This window comes from Homo sapiens, chromosome 20, assembly GCF_000001405.40.
Source record: "Homo sapiens chromosome 20, GRCh38.p14 Primary Assembly".
Lineage (NCBI taxonomy): Eukaryota > Metazoa > Chordata > Mammalia > Primates > Hominidae > Homo > Homo sapiens.
In genome coordinates, this window is record NC_000020.11 from 18,506,195 (window position 1) to 18,524,101 (window position 17,907).

At 44.0% G+C, this 17,907-nt stretch overlaps 1 protein-coding gene across 5 annotated transcripts in view, besides 2 other annotated features; it reads left to right on the forward strand.

Moving 5' to 3' along the window:
- Positions 1,287 to 1,616: an enhancer, noted in NCBI's record as "active region_17590". NCBI's record gives its function as "activates an Ori minimal core promoter by ATAC-STARR-seq in GM12878 lymphoblastoid cells {active_cell/tissue: GM12878}" and the evidence as "EXISTENCE:reporter gene assay evidence [ECO:0000049][PMID:35858748]".
- The window catches only part of SEC23B (SEC23 homolog B, COPII component), a 53,868-nt gene continuing 37,314 nt past the window's right edge, over positions 1,354 to 17,907 (forward strand). For 2 of the 5 annotated variants that reach the window (NM_032985.6, NM_001172746.3), the window contains exons 1-4: positions 1,746 to 1,796; positions 4,628 to 4,862; positions 6,031 to 6,088; positions 9,456 to 9,542. In NM_032985.6, coding sequence (NP_116780.1) covers positions 4,642 to 4,862; positions 6,031 to 6,088; positions 9,456 to 9,542 — 366 coding nt within the window. In that variant the 5' untranslated portion in view covers positions 1,746 to 1,796; positions 4,628 to 4,641. Of the gene's footprint in view, positions 1,476 to 1,745; positions 2,104 to 4,627; positions 4,863 to 6,030; positions 6,089 to 9,455; positions 9,543 to 17,907 lie in introns of those variants that run through there. The other 3 variants (NM_032986.5, NM_001172745.3, NM_006363.6) reach the window with 3 other exon arrangements.
- Positions 1,967 to 2,016: an enhancer, noted in NCBI's record as "active region_17591". NCBI's record gives its function as "activates an Ori minimal core promoter by ATAC-STARR-seq in GM12878 lymphoblastoid cells {active_cell/tissue: GM12878}" and the evidence as "EXISTENCE:reporter gene assay evidence [ECO:0000049][PMID:35858748]".

The window sequence follows — 17,907 nt, forward strand, 5'->3', positions numbered from 1 at the left end:
TAATCTCTTGGGGAGGTGGATTTGAGGATTGCTCTTGTCTCCTCATTTGGCTGCCACTTGATTATGGAACTCTTTATCTGCTGCAACTCCTATTCTTTCTGTTACCGCACAATGGACAATCGAACCTGATGGTCCTATAACAATCTTTCTTACAGAAATTGCTAGTACAGAAAGAATCCAGGTTCAAATAATCAAGGCAAATCTTTGGCGAATAATATTAAGTTTTGGTTAAAAAAAATCCCAGCTATGTCTTTTCTCAGTGTTAAGTATTATACATGTGTACATTTTGAGTTTGTTTCCTTACCGAGAATAATTAATCTGAACTTCCTAAATTTATAAAAGTTTACTATTGATAAGCTAATATTAACATTACATTGTTTAAGATCCTGAAAAATGTGAATTTGTTCAACAAAACTGAATCATTCTCACATTTAACAGTAATTGTTTCTTTGTGCCTTAAACTATTAATAATTTCTATGATCTGTAGATAACTTAAAACTTAGTATTAAATTGAGCTAATTAATGGATACTTCTTGGATGCCTAGATATGTTCTTGCATAATTTTATGTTTACATCGTTTTGCTTATTTTTATATGCTACAGAGACTACAACTCTGAGTCACAGTAATGATGTGTTCATGTTTGCCACTTGTCAGCGTGTGTAAAAATGGTTGTGGTGGCTTTATACAGTTGTGTTCTATCGCGCCTTTTGCAGCAACATGGATGCATCTGGAGGCCATGATCCTAAAAGAATTAACGCAGAAGCAGAAAACCAAATACATGTTCTCACTTGAAAGTGGGAGCTAAGCATTGGGCACACATGGACACAAAGGTGACATTAATAGACGCTGGGGACTACTAGAGTGGGGAGGGAGGCAGGGAGGGGCTGAAAAACTTGGGTACTATGCTCAGTATCTGGGTGACCAGCTCATTCGAATTCGAAACCTCATAGCCAGGTAACAAATACGCAGTGTACCCCCTAAATCTAAACGTTGGAATTATTTTTTAAAAGAAAGTTATGTTCCATGTATTTCTAAGCTTACTCTCCTAAAATGGTTGAATATTACAGTTCTCAATTATTTATCTCCATGTAGAAGGATGACAGGGACTGTGCGCTAGTGCCAGCCTCCGCTGAGAGCGCCAAGACATTACAGCAAGCGACGGTAGGAGAGCTTGTAACGTGAAGCACCACCACACCTCTGTACTTCAAACTTAACCACAGAGACCGACTCCCAAACCAGCAAGTGCGTAAGCGCCGCCGCGCTCACCACCCGCCCCGCCCCTTCCGCATGCTAATGCCTTCTTCCGGCAGCCTTAGTTTCTTCCAACCAGTGCAGCTCCCTGTTCCGCGAGCATACGTCATCGTTCTCGCTTTCCGGTAGCTAAGGCGATCAGCGGGACTTCCCACTGAGACGAGCGGATGTCATATTGTATCAGGGCGAACCTCTGAGGAGCGCTGGCTGCGCTTAGGCAACGGTGCGGCAGGCGCCGGGGTTTTCTGAAACAGAAACGTTTAGGGGTGGGGAAACGTGTTCCGAGGAACTCTCGTTTTGAAGTGCGACATACACCTGTCTTGCCCTGTTCCAAGATGGTGGCAGAGCTTCTCTGAGTCTCTCGCTTCCTCCAGTCCGTCGGAGAAGCGCTCTTTGATTGGCCAGTGGACAGCGCCGTGGCATGACGCGCTGGGGCGCTGGCCAATCGGTTGAGAGCTGAGCTGGACTTGGCGGTGGGAGCCGGAGCCTGCTTGTTGCAGCTGTGGGTGAGGACGGCTCTAGCTAGGTGAGCGGCTCCGGCCAGGTGAGCGGGGCGCATAGGTGACGGAGGGCCGAGGGCACGGGTATGAGTTTCTGCCGGGGGCGAGGTGAGCGGCTTCTGGGAGGAGGCCTTTTCTTGACAGTTTAGGGTAGCGGGGGAATGGATGATCCGGGAGTCCCCTGCGGATGTCGTCCCGCACCAGGCCGGGACCGATTTCTGGCTCCAGTTTCCCCAGAATTGCGGAGTGCGCACACCTGGAAGGACCCAAGTCCCGTTTTATAGTTGAGAAACTCAAGACTCAGACAAGTGAAACGACTTTTGCTTCATGACAGCTGGAACTGGAACCCAGGTCCTTGGACTCCCTTCAAGGATTAAACCTCACTTATTCTTACATACACATGGTCACTGTGTCCTGAGAAGTTACGAGTTGGCGCGATAAGGGTGGTTCAGATTTTTTGGCATATTCTCCTGTTATCTTTCCAGGCCTTTCATTCATTCACTAATTCATACTTTCAGTTATTTACCTCTTCAGATACCTTCCCCGATACTTTGGTAAAAGCTATGGACCCATCTCCCTAGAAAAACGGCATATTCCCTCATGCGCATAACTTCAGATGATTAGTGGACCTTCTATAGTCCCCTTGGATTATGTGTCCACTGCTAAGAATCCAGACCCTAGAAGGGTGAGGGAAACAGGCAGTAGGAAAAGGAGGGAGCAGGTCTTAGGCTGTACATGCTTGGAAACCATTAGATGGAGGCAGTAGCTTCTTTTTTTTTTTTTTTTTTTTTGAGATGGAGTCTCGCTCTGTCGCCCAGGCTGGAGTGCAGTGGCGTGATCTCGGCTCACTGCAACCAATGCCTCCCAAGGTCAAGCAGTCCTCCCTGCCGCAGCCTCCCGAGTAGCTGGGATTACAGGCACCTGCCACCACGCCCAGCTAATTTTTGTATTTTTAGTAGAGACGGGGTTTTGCCATGTTGGCCAGGCTGGTCTTGAATTCCTGACCTCAGGTCATCCACCGGCCTCGGTCGCCCAAAGTGCTGGGATTACAGGCGTGAGCCACCGCGCCCGGCCGCCAGTGCCTTTTAATAAAGAACGTTTTGAGAGAGAGACGGTTATTTAATGAAATCTGCTGACATACTTGCTGAGAGTTGTGATAGAACTTGCTTTCATTCCGACTTTAGTTATCCCTTTGCTTCCCATGAAGCTCCAGAGTGCTTCCTGTGCACACAGTGCTTCAGGTTCTTGCCGTTGCCAGAAATAAACAGATTTCTTAGAGTTTCAGTTGGAGCAAACATTGGAATTCTTGTGTTCTGGGCTTTATGTAGTAGAGTAATTCATTTGCTTTTCTAGCCATGCAATATTATTGCCTTAATCAAAATTATTTACAGTATGGTACTTCCCAAAATAACAGACAGTTGTTATCCATATTCAGGAAGTGGGCGCGAGAGGCCACTTTAATTTGATAGACTCTTTAATTTGCCTTTTTACTACTTTTCTTGAGGGGCTTGTTCCCTTGAACCCCAATAGCTGAGTTGTGTGTTACCCTAGATTTTAGGATATGAACAGGATGTATAAATACTCAATGAAGTTGGGATCATCTGGGTTTGAGAGTTTAGCCTGTAGGACAGTTTTACTGACCACAGTCTTCATTTTTTTTTTGAAACAGAGTCTGGCTCTGTCGCCCAGGCTGTGCAATGGCATTGTCTCGCCTCACTGCAATCTCTGCCTCCCGAGTTCAGACGATTCTCCTGCCTCAACCTCCTGAGTAGCTGGGACTATGGGCACGTGCCACCACACCTGGCTAATTTTTGTATTTTTAGTAGAGACGGAGTTTCACTGTGTTGGCCAGGCTGGTCTTGAACTCCTGACCTCGTGATCCGCCCATCTCAGCCTCCCAAAGTGCTGCGAGTATAGGTGTGAGCCACCACACCTGGCCTTGACCACAGCCTGTCAAGGCATGAACATAAGCAACCGTGGTGAGGAAAGAGGTTCTGGTGAGACTCAGCATAATAGTAATTTTGGTAATACCAAGTAGAAATAATTTAGCTCAAAACTGGTTCCCATTATGAACCAAACTTGAAGATCAGTATCCAGCTCTTTTCTCCAAAGTTAACAAAGTGCGGAAGGGAATGAGCACCCCCCCGCTACTGAAAAAAAAATCACTTGGAATGTAAAATTTAATAGAGGAAGAAAGGAAGGAGATTAGAGAGGAAGATAGTTGGATGCCGAAACAGGGTTCAAGACTTACCCTTGAGCAAGGGGCTGAAATTGGCTTGACTGATAGGACGTGTGATCTGTGAGGAGGTTTGAAGTAGTAGTGTTTAACTACATGTAGTTTGGAGATGATCAGGTGATTGTAAACCTCCCACTCCTTTGATTTATTTTTAAGTGCTTGAAAGGAGAGGTGAGAAAGGAGCAGTGATCAATGATAACTGTGCGGTTAACTGACTTTTGGGTATCAGATGGAAAAGAAATACTGTCATTCTACAGCAACAGGTTCTTCCCAAGTATTTAAGAAACACTGTGTTAGTTGGGCCGGGTACAGTGGGTCACGCCTGTAATCCCAGCACTTTGGAAGGCCAAGGCGGGTGGATCACCTGAGGTCAGGAGTTTGAGACCAGCCTGGCCAACATGGTGAAACCCTGCCTCTACTAAAAATACAAAAAATTAGCCGGGCTTGGTGGCACAGGCTTGTAATCCCAGCTACTTGGGAGGCTGTGGCAGGAGAATCGCTTGAACCCGGGAGGTGGAGGCTGCAGTGAGCTGAGATGGGAAAAAAAGAGAAACACTGTGTTACATGACCCATCTTCTTTTTTTGACATTTAGTTCAGAATTTCACATACCATTAAGGTAATTAAAGTTTTATCTTCAGTTCCCTTTTAGACTATGGCGACATACCTGGAGTTCATCCAGCAGAATGAAGAACGGGATGGTGTGCGTTTTAGTTGGAACGTGTGGCCTTCCAGCCGGCTGGAGGCTACAAGAATGGTTGTACCCCTGGCTTGTCTCCTTACTCCTTTGAAAGAACGTCCAGACCTACCTCCTGTACAATATGAACCTGTGCTTTGCAGCAGGCCAACTTGTAAAGCTGTTCTCAACCCACTTTGGTATGGATTCTTTTGAAACTGGTAAAAATGATAAATACAATATATTATGAATTTTATGTGATGCTCATAAAAGTCATTAAATTTGGGCAGGTCATCAAATTTGTGATAAGTAGTAGATGATGAGACTCCTAAACGATTCTTGTGGTGAGTAGTAAGTGGTGAATATTTGTAGAAATCTCCCTGGCCTGATAATTCCAGATAAAATTGGAATCTTACAGGAATGAGGTAGAGGTAGAGGGAGAGGATTTGTAATTCACTTTTTTTTTGGCTGATAATCAGTTTGCTTTTGGCTTAACTGTAGACTTTATTGATTCCTCTTAAAGTAATTTCCCAGAAGAATTCGAAAGCTTAGACCGTCTTCTCATGCTTCCCGGGTACAGTGATGCTATATGGCAAGGAGAAGTAGCAGGCAGAAGAAATTTTAACTGTTAACAATTTGTTAAGTGTAATTTTTTTTTTTTTTGTGCCTGAGATAGTGACCTATTTCTTTTAAATGTGGGCATTATTTGAAATGATTTTTAAACAGGTAGAGAGTGTCATAAAATTTTTATATGAGGGAACATTTTTTACTTCATTCTCATTGCTTTTATTTAATGTGCCCATATGTGAATGCATAGCCACTGGTTATTAATTTTCTAAATGTAGAAAATAAGGGAAAAGTAACTGAAGCATTATCTTGAACCAATTTGAGGAAGTGAAATGTGCTTGCCCAACTTTTCTTAAAATGGGCTAAGTCAGGTTAAAAATCTAGAAGCATTTTCCTGTGTGTGAAATATGCTTTTAATGTTGGAATTTAGTAGTTTCACATAGCCGGACAATAAAGATGTTAGAAAAAAATCATGAAGAGTATGTTAAGATAAAAGGCAAGAGAGAAATAATGTATAATTTATATAAATCATGACATTTAAAAAATTAGGAAATTGGAAAAGAGAAAAAGATTTAGTATTTCTTCACTGTGGCTGTTTGATGGAAATTGTGGTGTACTTAGCCAGAATTCTAACTGCGGTGAACGTTTTGCATACTCATACTTATGCATACACATAGAAACACTTACTTGTGTGATTTACTGAACTTGAAATTTACAAATGAACGCTTTCTACCTTAAAAATAAAAATTTTATTTTAAAAATAAAAGTGGTACCTACTTATAATATTTATCTTTCTCACAGTCAGGTTGATTATCGAGCAAAACTTTGGGCCTGTAATTTCTGTTTTCAAAGAAATCAGGTATGTGAATTATTTTTAAAAAATGTTATATGTTTTATTTTAGTTGTATTATGAAAAAAATTAAGTTAGGTTGAATTTGTGTTTACACTGGCAGTGAGCAGTTTCTGCTGAACTCAGGGTGATAACTTTTGTTAAGCACAATATTGAATTTGAACATTTGTGGTTTATTCTGTTGAGTGGTTTTCTTGAGTCCTTGTCATTTGCTTGGGGCTGGGGAGGGGGTGTTCATTGAATTCCCTTTTCTTACACATTTTCTGTAGGCAGTGAATCTGTGACCCAAAGAAAGCACCTGTTTTTCATATTTCTCTTGACTTCAGTATATTCTGATTGGATAGTGTATATTACTGAATTTTCATTTTCTGATCTTTCTAACTTTTAGAGTCCAGGTATCAGTGTTGAGCTTCTTTTGATTTAAAAATTTTAAAAGTACCAAACTAGAAGGAGCTCACAAATCACAAGAGAGACTTCTCTATAAAAGTAACTGTGCGGCCAGGCCTAGTGGCTCATGCCTGTAATCCCAGCATTTTGGGAGGCCGAGGTGGGTGGATCATGAGGTCAAGAAATCGAGACCATTCTGGCCAACATGGTGAAACCCCATCTCTACTAAAAATACAAAAATTAGGCCGGGCGCGGTGACTTACGCCTATAATCTCAGCACTTTGGGAGGCTGAGGCGGGCAGATCATGAGGTCAAGAGATCAAGACCATCCTGGCCAACATGGTGAAATCCCCTCTCTACTAAAAATACAAAAATTAGCCAGGAGTGGTGGCAGCCACCTGTAGTCTTAGCTACTCAGGAGGCTGAGGCAGGTGAATCGCTTGAACCCGGGAGGCGGAGGTTGCAGTGAGCCGAGATTGAGCCATTGCACTCCAGCCTGGCAACAGAGCAAGACTCCGTCTCAAAATAAAATAAAAAATTAGCTGGACATGGTGGTGCGCACTTGTAGTCCCAGCTACTCAGGAGGCTGAAGCAGGAGAATCGCTTGAACCCGGGAGGTGGAGGTTGCAGTGAGCTGAGATTGCGCCACTGCACTTCAGCCTGGCAACACAGCAAGAGTGTCAAAAAAAAAAAAAAAGTAACTGTGCCTGTAGTGGAAATGTTCTAAAAGTGGATTGTGGTAATTATTGCACAACTGTACGTTTTCTAAAAATCATTGACTTGTATAATTAAAATGAGTGAATTTTATGTTGCGTAAACTATACCTCAATAAAGTTGTTAGAAAAAATTTGTGTCCAGCATAGTGTACACTGTTCTAACAGATCTTAAGCTCTTCACATGCATTCGTTCATATATTTGATCATAATTACAATTACTCATTCTCAGATACAGCATATAAGTCTAGTGATGAAGAGGACAGTGTACAATTGATGACTGACCATAGGTTCGGAAACTATAAGCAGATGTCATTTAAAATATATCTTCATGAGAGATTCAGAAGTATATAGAAATCTTAAAAGCATTTCTGCTCCCTATTACATTTAGGATTAATGTCTTTGTTTAATATAATTTATTATAGTAATTCTAAGGCAGGGTAGCATAGTGGCTAAAGAGCCAGAGATCTGTAGCCAGACTGCCTGGGTTTGGCTCTCAGATCTACCACTTATTTCCTGTGTAACTTTGGGTAGGTCACTTAACTGCCTGTGCCTCAACTTCCTTGTCTTTAAAATTAGGATGATAGTATAGTATACCTATAGTCACTTCATGAGATTATTGTGAGAATTAAACTGAGTTAATGAGTATAAAGGACTTAGAACAGTGCTTGACACATGGTAAGTGCCATATAAGTATTTGGTATTATTATGCTTACCTAAGATTGTCACCTGCCAATTTATAAGTATGATCTGCAAGTCTATGTGTCCTAAGTGGAAATAATCTTTTGTAACCTTCCTAGCTGGACAGTGTGGGGGTTTTCTAGCTCTAAATGAATGTAGAGCTGGAAGACGGAGGGATCAGGGTGATCTCCGTCTCCTTTGCTCCCTTCTGTGCAGCTGGCTGACTGCGTGGGTGAACAGGGCCTCTCCAGGTTGCTGGGAGGTGGCTGGTGTGTCTGTAGTCATAGATCGAGCTTATCCCTGCTGGGAGCTGCAGTCAGTGGGCAGTCATGGCCAGGATGGGGCTAGAGTCTTCTGCTGGCTCTGACTGAGATTCTTGCTGGGGCTCGCAAGCTCAGTTGTACCCTTCTCTCCCAACCAGAGGCCCCTAAAGCTGCCTGTCAGCTCCTCAGCAGCACTTGCATTTGGTCACTCTGAGGTCACTGGCCTGGAGTGATCATCTGCTCACTTTGGGGAGATGCACCTCAACTTGTATTTTTAATGTAAAGCTAAAGACTATTTGGATTATAAGCCAACCCACAAGCTGTGAATTTAAAACATTTGCAGAGAGTTTTAAAAACAAAAGAAAATGCCTGTGGCATTATGTTGACTGGAAAAAACAAGTTCCACATTGTATATATGGGATGTTCTCAACTGTGCTTAAGTCTGGAAGGAAATCTGCCAGGAGGTTGACAGTAGCTGCTTCTAGGTGATAGGATTTTGGGGGGCTTTTCCTCCTTTGTTTGCTTCTATTTTCCTGGACTTGCCAATTTTTCTACATTCCGTATGTATTACTTTATTGATAATAGCCAAAATAATAAACCTAAATAAAGTCTTTGGCTTTATTTAGACTATTAACTATTGATGAGATAGGTGAAATCTCAGCCTTTAATTTGCAGGGCAAAACTTAAGAAATGGTTTTCATTTGTGTGTTTTTGGCTAGGCATGGTGGCTTATGCCTGTAATCCCAGCACTTTGGGAGACTGAGGGGAGAAAATCACTTGAAACCAGGAGTTCAAGACCAGCCTGGGCAACATAAAGTGTGCTTTTAAACATTTAGAAGTTACAATAGCTTAAAACTGCTCTAAAAAATATTTTTTAAGAGGACAGAAATGATATAAATATAAGGCAGGGTTAGAAGTTTTAAATGCTGATTTTTATGTTTTTTAACGTGTCCTGTATTTTGTGCTTTCAGAATAAATACATGGTCATTACCATTTTTTTTCTTCTTTTTTGAGACAGAGTCTTGCTCTGTTTCCCAGGCTGGAGTGCAGTGGCGCAATCATGGCTCACTGCAGCCTTAACCTCCTGGGTTCAAGTGATCCTCCCACCTCAGCCTTCTGAGTAGCTGGGACTACAGGTGTGAGCCACCACGCCCAACTAATGTTTTTACTTCTTGTATACAGACAGGGTCTCACAGTGTTGCCCAAGCTAGTCTGGAGCTCCTGAGCTCAAGTGTTCCTCTCGTCTTGGCATCATTATCATTTTTACACATGGAAAATAAAAAGTGTAATATAGTTATGCCAACCCTAATAAAACTGTTTCCTTCTTTTCAGTTTCCTCCAGCTTATGGAGGCATATCTGAGGTGAATCAACCTGCCGAATTGATGCCCCAGTTTTCTACAATTGAGTACGTGATACAGGTAATTTCTTTGTTGTGCATTTAATGAGCAATGTTAAATACTGAATTTCTCTTGAAATCCTTTGTCTTCCATGTCTCTTACCTGGGCAGGGGACTTAAAGCTGTGAGGGCAGCAGGATCCTAACCTTTAGGTTTGATGTGTGTGCATCTACTGGCATTGTTTTCAAGTCCTGACATTATAGAAGGCTACTAAAAAGGTAGAACTGATTAAATTCCAAACCTGTTCTCTGTAGCCTTCTTCATCTCAGTTGATGGTACTCCATCATCTAGTTGTTTAGCTTCAGAACCTTAGACTTATCCTTGACCTCTCTCTTTCATGTTCCATATCTAATTCACTGGAAAATCCCATTGGCTCTATATTTGAAATTTATCCAGAATCCACCCACTTCCCCCTCCCTACTACCAGCTGCCCTGGGCCAGCCACTCCTTCTTACTTGAATCTTCTAATTGTTCTCCCTGATGTTACCATTGCCTATTTATACATTATTCTTCACCCAGCAGCCACAGTAATTCTTTTTTTTTTTTTTTTTACAAATTGTATTTATTCATTTATTCAGTGAGGAAAGTTTGTTTTGCTTTCAAATATTGGCCTTTGTGAATAATGCTTCAATGAATATAGCTGTTCAAATAACTGTTTACCCATATGTTGGAGGTTTGCATTTCTGCTACATTGTGTTTTATTGGAAAACTTGTCTGTCTTTATGCCAGAACTAAACTGTTTTTATTACTGTAGCTTTGTAATGTGCTTTGAAATTAGAAAAGGTGACATTGTTTCTTTTTTTTAAACATTTTTGGGCTCTTTTTTTTTTCTTTTTCTTTTTTTTTTTTTCTTCTGAGATGGAGTCTTGCTCTGTTGCCCAGGCTGGAGTGCAGTGGCACGATCTCGGCTCACTGCAAGCTCTGCCTCTCGGGTTCACGCCATTCTCCTACCTCAGCCTCCCGAGTAGCTGGGATTACAGGCGCCTGCCACCACGCCCGGCTAATTTTTTTAATATTTTTAGTAGAGACGGGGTTTCACCATGTTAGCCAGGATGGTCTCGTTCTCCTGACCTTGTGATCCACCCACCTCGGCTTCCGAAAGTGCTGGGATTACAGGCGTGAGCCACCGCACCCGGCCACATTTTTAGGCTCTTTATTGTCCTTTGAGATTCCGTATAATTTGTTGGTTACTTTTTCTATTTCTAAAAAAAAAAAATTGTTAATTGAAAAGGGATTGCATTGAATCTGTAGTTCACTAGGCAGCATGAACATCTTCACAATATTAAGTCTTACAACCCTTGAACATGAGCATGCTCAAAAGTGAGTTTAATTTCCATATATATGTTGATATTTTTGCTTTCTTCTGTTATTGATTTCTAGTTTTATTCCATTTTTATCGGAAATAATTATCTCATGTGTCCGTGTGAAGAGACCACCAAACAGGCTTTGTGTGAGCAACAAGGCTCTTGATTTCACCTGGGTGCAGGCAGGCTGAGTCCGAAAAAGGAGTCAGCAAAGGGTGGTGGATTATCATTAGTTCTTATAGGTTTTGGGATAGGCAGTGGAGTTACGAGCAATGTTTTGTGGGCAGGAGGTGGATCTCACAAAGTACGTTCTCAAGGGTGGGGAGAATTACAAAGACCCTTCTTAAGGGTGGGGGAGATTACAAAGTACATTGATCAGTTAGGGTGGGGCAGAAACAAATCACAGGTGGAATGTCATCAGTTAAGGCTATTTTCACTTCTTTTGTGAATTTTCAGTTGCTTCAGGCCATCTGGATGTATACGTGCAGGTCATAGGGGATATGATGGCTTGGCTTGGGTTCAGAGGCCTGACATTCCTGTGTTGTTATATTAATAAGAAAAGCAAAACAAAATAGTGAAGTGTTGGAGCAGTGAAAAAATTTTGGGGGTGATATGGAGAGATTAATGGGCGATGTTTCTCAGGACTGCTTCTAGCGGGATTAGGGGCAGCGTGGGAACCTACAGTGGGAGAGATTCAACTGAAGAAAGATTTTGGCGTAAGGGGTGATGTTGTGGGGTTGTTAGAAGGAGCATTTGTCGTATAGAATTATTGGTGATGGCCTGGATGTGGTTTTCTATGAATTGAGAAACTAAATGAAAGACACAAGGTCCAAATAAGAGAAGGAGAAAAACAGGTATTAGAGGACTAAGAATTGGGAGGACCCAGGACATCCAATTAGAGAGTGTCCAAGGGAGTTCAGTGTAATTACTTGTTTGGTTGGTGAGTTTTTGGGCTCTATTCTTGACAGAGTCCTTTTTGTTAAGTTGGAGGCTGAGCTTGGTGAGGTGTGTTTTTAAAAGACCATTAGTTTGTCCTACCGTTCCTGAAGATTGAGGATGGTAAGGGGTATGAAGTTTTCACTGAATACCAAGAGCCTGAAAAACTGTTTGGGTGATTTGACTAATAAAGGCTGGTCCGTTATCGGACTGTATAGAGGTGGGAAGGCCAAACCAAGGAATTATGTCTGACAAAAGGGAAAAAATGACTGCAGTGGCCTTCTCAGACCCTGTGGGAAAGGCCTCTACCCATCCAGTGAAAGTGTCTACCTAGACCAAGAGGTATTTTAGTTTCCTGACTCAGGGCATGTGAGTAAAGTCAATTTGCCAGTCCCGAGCAGGGGCAAATCCCTGAGCTTGATGTGTAAGGAAGGGAGGGGGCCTCAACAATCCCTGAGGAGTAGTAGAATAGCAGATGGAACACTGAGAAGTGATTTCCTTGAGGATAGATTTCCACGATGGAAAGGAAATGAGAGGTTTTAAGAGGCAGGCTAATGGCTTGTAACCTACATGGAAGAGATTATGAAATGACAACAGAATAGAATGGGCCTGTGAGGCTGGAAGGAGGTTTTTTTTTTTTTTTTTTTTTTTGTCTAAGAACCATCTGCCTTGAGTGGAGAGGGATTGATAGGTGGAAACTTCAGTGGGAGAGTAAACAGGAGTGACCAATGAGAAGGAGAAAAACTGGCCATGAGGGACAGAAGTTGGAATGCTAGCTGCTTCTTTAGCTACCTTATCAGCAGAAGCGTTGCCCTGGGTGATGGGATCTGATGCCTTTTGGTGGCCCTTGCAGTGTATGACTCCTGCTTCCTTTGGAAGTAAAGCAGCCTTTAGAAGAGTTTTTATTAAAGAGACATTAATGATGGAGGACCCTTGTGTAGTGATTTTCTGCCTATATAACAGCATGGTGGTGCAGGATATGGAAGGCATATTTAGAGTCAGTATAATTATTGACACGTAATTCCTTTGCAAGAGTGAGGGCTCAAGTTAAGGCAATGAGTTCAGCTTGCTGAGAGGTAGTGGAGCCGGGCAGAGTGGTAGCCTCAATGATAGATGTGGAAGATACTATGGCATAGCCTGCCTTTGCTGGTGTGTGGCGATTAGGCCTGGTGGAACTGCCATCAATAAACCAGGTGTGATCAGGGTGAGGAATAGGAAAGAAGGAAATATGAGGAAATGGAGTGAATGTCAGGTGGATCAGAGAGATACAGTCATGTGGGTCAGGTGTGGTATCAGGAATAATGTGGGAGGCCGGATTGAAGTGCGGGCCAGGAACAATGGTAACTGTGGGAGACTCAACAAAGAGTGAGTACAGCTGAAGGAGCCGGGGAGCAGAAAGTATATGTGTCAGGTGTGAGGAAGAAAATAGATTTTCAAAGTTATGAGAACTGTAGAGAGTGAGTTGAGCATAGTTTGTGATTTTGAGGGTCTCTAAAAGTATTAGGGCGGCAGCAGCTGCCGCACGGAGACATGATGGCCAGCCTAAAACAGTAAGGTCAAGTTGTTTGGACAAAAAGGCTACAGTGCGCGGTCCCGTTCCTTGTGTAAGAATTCCGACTGTACAGCTCTGCACTTAGGCTGTGTGTAATGAAAAGGGTTGGGATGAGTTAGGGAGACTAGTGTGGGGGCAGTCTCTAAAGCTGACTTCAAGGAACGGAAAGAGGAGTGGGGAAAGGATTTAGGATCTGTGGGGTCAGCTAGGTTTGCTTTTGTGAATTAATATAATGGTTTAGTCAGGATGGTAAAACTAGGTATCCAAAGGCAGAAGTACCTAACCATGCCTAGGAAGGAAAGGAGTTGTTGTTTTGTAGAAGAGATTGGGGTTTGGGAGATTAGTCAGACATGGTCAGCAGGGAGAGCACGGGTGTTTTCATGAAGAATTATGCCGAGATAGGTAATAGATGAGGAAGAAATTTGAGCTTGACTGAAGTAATGGGGGCTGTCCGCGAAGCCTTGCGGCAGTAGAGCCCAGGTAATTTGCTGAGCCTGATGGGTGTCAGGGTCAGTCCAAGTGAAAGCAAAGAGAGGCTGGGATGAAGGGTGCAAAGGAATAGTAAAGAAAGCATGTTTGAGATCCAGAACAGAATAATGAGTTGTGGAGGGAGGTATTGAGGATAGGAGAGTATATGGGTTTGGCACCAAGGGGTGGATAGGCAAAACAATTTGGTTGATAAGGCACAGATCCTGAACTAACCTATAAGGCTTGTCCAGTTTTTGGACAAGTAAAATGGGATTGTAAGGAGAGTTTATAGGCTTTAAAAGGCCATGCTATAACAAGCGAGTGATAACAGGCTTTAATCCATTTAAAGCATGCCGTGGGATGGGATATTGGCATTGAGCGGGGTAAGAGTGATTAGGTTTTAATGGGATAGTAATGGGCGTGTGATCGGTTGCCAGAGAGAGTGGAGGTATCCCATACTTGTGGGTTAAGGTTGGGGGGTACAAGAGGAGGATGCGAAGGAGGCTTTGAACTGGGGAAAAGAGCGGGAGTGAGGTGTGGCTGTAGCCTGGGAATAGTCAGGGAAGCAGATAATTTAGTTAAAATGTCTCGACCTAATAAGGGAGCCGGGCAGGTGAGGATAACTAAAAAGGAGTGCATTAAAGAATGTTGTCCAAGTTGGCACCAGAGTTGGGGAGTTTTAAGAGGTTTAGCAGCCTGGCCGTCAATACCCACAACGGTTATGGAGGCAAGGGAAACAGGCCCTTGAAAAGAAGGTAATGTGGAGTGGGTAGCCTCTGTACTGATTAAGAAGGCGACGGACTTACTCTCCACTGTAAGAGTTACCCAAAGCTCGGCGTCCGTGATGGTCTAGGTGGCTTCTGAGGCGATCAGGCAGCGTCCGTCTTCAGCCACTAAGCTGAGAAGATCTGGGAAGGAGTCAGAGAGCCTTGGGCCAGAGTTCCAGGGGCTCTGGGAGTGGCTGCTTGGTGAGTTGAACAGTCCGATTTTCAGTGGGGTCCCGCACAGATGGGACACGGCTTAGGAAGAATCCCGGGCTGCGGGCATTCCTTGGTCCAGTGGCCAGATTTCCGGCACTTGAAGCAAGCTCCTGCGGGAGGAGGTTCTGGAGGAACCCCTGGCAGCTGCGGTTTAGGCGTTTGGAGTTCTTGTGTGCTGGAGATGTGGCTGGGGTTTGTCTCACAGTGGAGGCAATGAATTGCAACTCAGAAATACATTGTTACTTGGCTGCCTCTACTCTATTATTGTACACCTTGAAGGCGAGGTTAATTAAGTCCTGTTGTGGGGTTTAAGGGCTGGAATCTAATTTTTGGAGCTTTTTCTAATGTCAGGAGTGGATTGGGTAATAAAATGCATATTGAGAATAAGACGGCCTTCCTCTGGGGGCCTTCCTCTGGGGTCTAGGACAGTAAAGCGTCTAAGGGTTTTTGCCAAACGGGCCATTAACTGGGCTGGGTTTTTATATCTGATGAAAAAGAGCCTAAATGCTAACTGATTTGGGAGAGGTCAGATAAAGAAAAAAGGAGCATTAAACTTGACTATGCCTTTAGCTCCAGCCACCTCTTTAAGAGGAAATTGTTGGGCAAGTGGGGAGGGCTAGTCGTGGAACGAAATGGTAAGCCAGGCCGGGTGTGAGGAGGGGAGGTGATAGAAAGATTATAGGGTGGGGGAGCAGAGGCTGAGAAAGAATTGGGACCTAGCTTGGCCTGGTGAGGAGCAACCTGGGGAGAAGGGGAGAGGTCAGATGAGTCCGTAGAAAAGGATTAAAAGGACTTAAGAGCTTGGGGTGGAGACTGAAGGAACAGACAGGAGAGAAAGAAGAAAGATTTGGGACGAGTCGCATTGGGAGCAGAGACTAGGGAGGGACCAATGTGTAAAAGAATGCCTGGACGTCAGGCACCTCAGACCATTTGCCCATTTTACGACAAGGATTATTTAGATCTTGTAGGATGGAGAAATCAAAAGTGCCGTTTTCTGGCCATTTAGAATCATTGTCGAGTTTGTACTGGGGCCAAGTGGTGTGGCAGAAGAAAATAAGACACTTAGATTTTAGGTCAGATGAGAGTTGAAGAGGTTTTAAGTTCTTGAGAACACAGGCTAAGGGAGAAGAAGGGAATGGAGGGCGGAAGTTTGCACATAGTGAAGGAGGTAAGTTTAAAGAGAAGGGTAGAGACACGGAGTAGGGGGTGGGGAGCAGCCATGGGCTGCAATGTGGGTGAGCAGCCAAAGCAGGAGTCCCTACAATTGACTTGTCACCAAGGGAATGTGGGTGAATGACCAAGGCAGGCATCCCTGCAGAGATCAGACGCCAATGGAATGTGGGTGAATAATCAGGCAGGCGTCCCCACAATGATTAAACACCAAGGGAAGGCTGTCTTCCTGAGTCCGTGACCGGCGCGTTTTGGGTCCACGGATAAAAGGTGTCTCCTTTGTCTCTACTAGAGAGGAAAAAGAACTGGAATTGGAAGGACAGGGAGATTGAAGGGTAGCAAGAGAGGCTGGAGAAGAGAGTGAAAAGACCACTTACCCGATTTGAAATTGGTGAAATATTCCCTGGGCTAGTTGGTCCGAGGACCTGAGGTCGTAGGCGGATCTCTTCACGGGGTGAGGGTGAGGACAGGGGACTGGTCTCTTGAAGGAGTCCCTCTGACCCGGGTCTTCGGCACCAAATATCTCACGTGTCCGTGTGAAGAAACCACCAAACAGGCTTTGTGTGAGCAACAAGCTGTTATTTTACCTGGGTGCAGGCGGGCTGAGTCCAAAAAAGGAGGCAGCCCAGAGTAATTCTTTAAAAACAAATCGGCCGGGCGTGGTGGCTCACACACGTAATCCCAGCACTTTGAGGGGCTGAGGCGGGGGGATCACAAAGTCAGGAGATCGAAACCATCCTGGCTAACACAGTGAAACCCCTTTTCTACTAAAAATACAAAAAAAATTTAAAAATTAGCCGGGCGTGGTGGTGGGCACCTATAGTCCCAGCTACTTGGGAGGCTGAGGCAGGAGAATAGCGTGAACCCAGGAGGTGGAACTTGCAGTGAGCCGAGATCGCGCCACTGCACTCCAGCCTGGGTGACAGAGCGAGACTCCGTCTCAAAAAAAAAAGAAAAAAAAATCATGTTACTTCTCTGTTCAGAAAACCCCACTGGAGAAAGTGGCTTTCTTTTACCCAGGGTAAAAGACAGTTTTCAAAGCCCCACGTGTTACCACTCCAACCCCAGTATCTGCTAGTGTCCTCGTTCAGCCCAGTGGGCCTCTTTGACTCTCCTCAAATGTGCTAACACTCCTGCTTGAGGACCTCTGCTGTAGCTTTTCCCTGAGGCTGGAGCTCTCCCCTGTATCTGTGGTGCTCCTTCCCTCTCTTCCCTCAGGCTTTGCTCAAACATTACTTTCTTTTTCTTTCTCTTTCTTTGTTTCTTTCCTTTCTTTTTTTTTTTTTTTTCTTTTTTTAGACAGAGCCTTGCTCTGTCACCCAGGCTGGAGTGCAATGGCACGATCTCAGCTCACTGCAACCTCTGCCTCCTGGGTTCAAGCAATTCTCCTGCCTCAGCCTCCCAAGTAGCTGGGATTACAGGTGAACCCCACTACGCCTGGCTAATTTTTGTATTTTTAGTACAGATAGGGTTTCACCATGTTGGCCAGGGTGGTCTTGAACTCCTGACCTCGTGATCCACCTGTCTTGGCCTCTCAAAGTGTTGGGATTCAGGCATGAGCCACTGTGCCCGGCCCTCTTTTTCTTTTTTTTTTTTTTAAGATGGGGTCTTGCTCTCTTGTCCAGGCTGGTATGTAGTGGTACAACCATAGCTTACTGCAGCCTCAAATTCCTGGGCTTAAGGGATCCTCCTGCCTCCGCCTCCTGAGTAGCTGGGACCTTAGGCATATGCCATCATCCCCAACTAATTTTTAAATTTTTATATTTTTTTTTGTTAGAGACGGGGTCTCGCCATGTTGGCAGCCTGGTCTTGAACTCCTGTGCTTAAGCAATCCTCCCATCTTAGCCTCCCAAAGTGCTGGGATTACAGGCATGAACCCGGCTCATATGCTACTTTCTAAATGAGGCTGCCCTGATTTCTCTGTTTAACAGTTGACTCTGCCCTCTGCCTCTCCTCCTGGTGTTTGCAGTCCCCCTT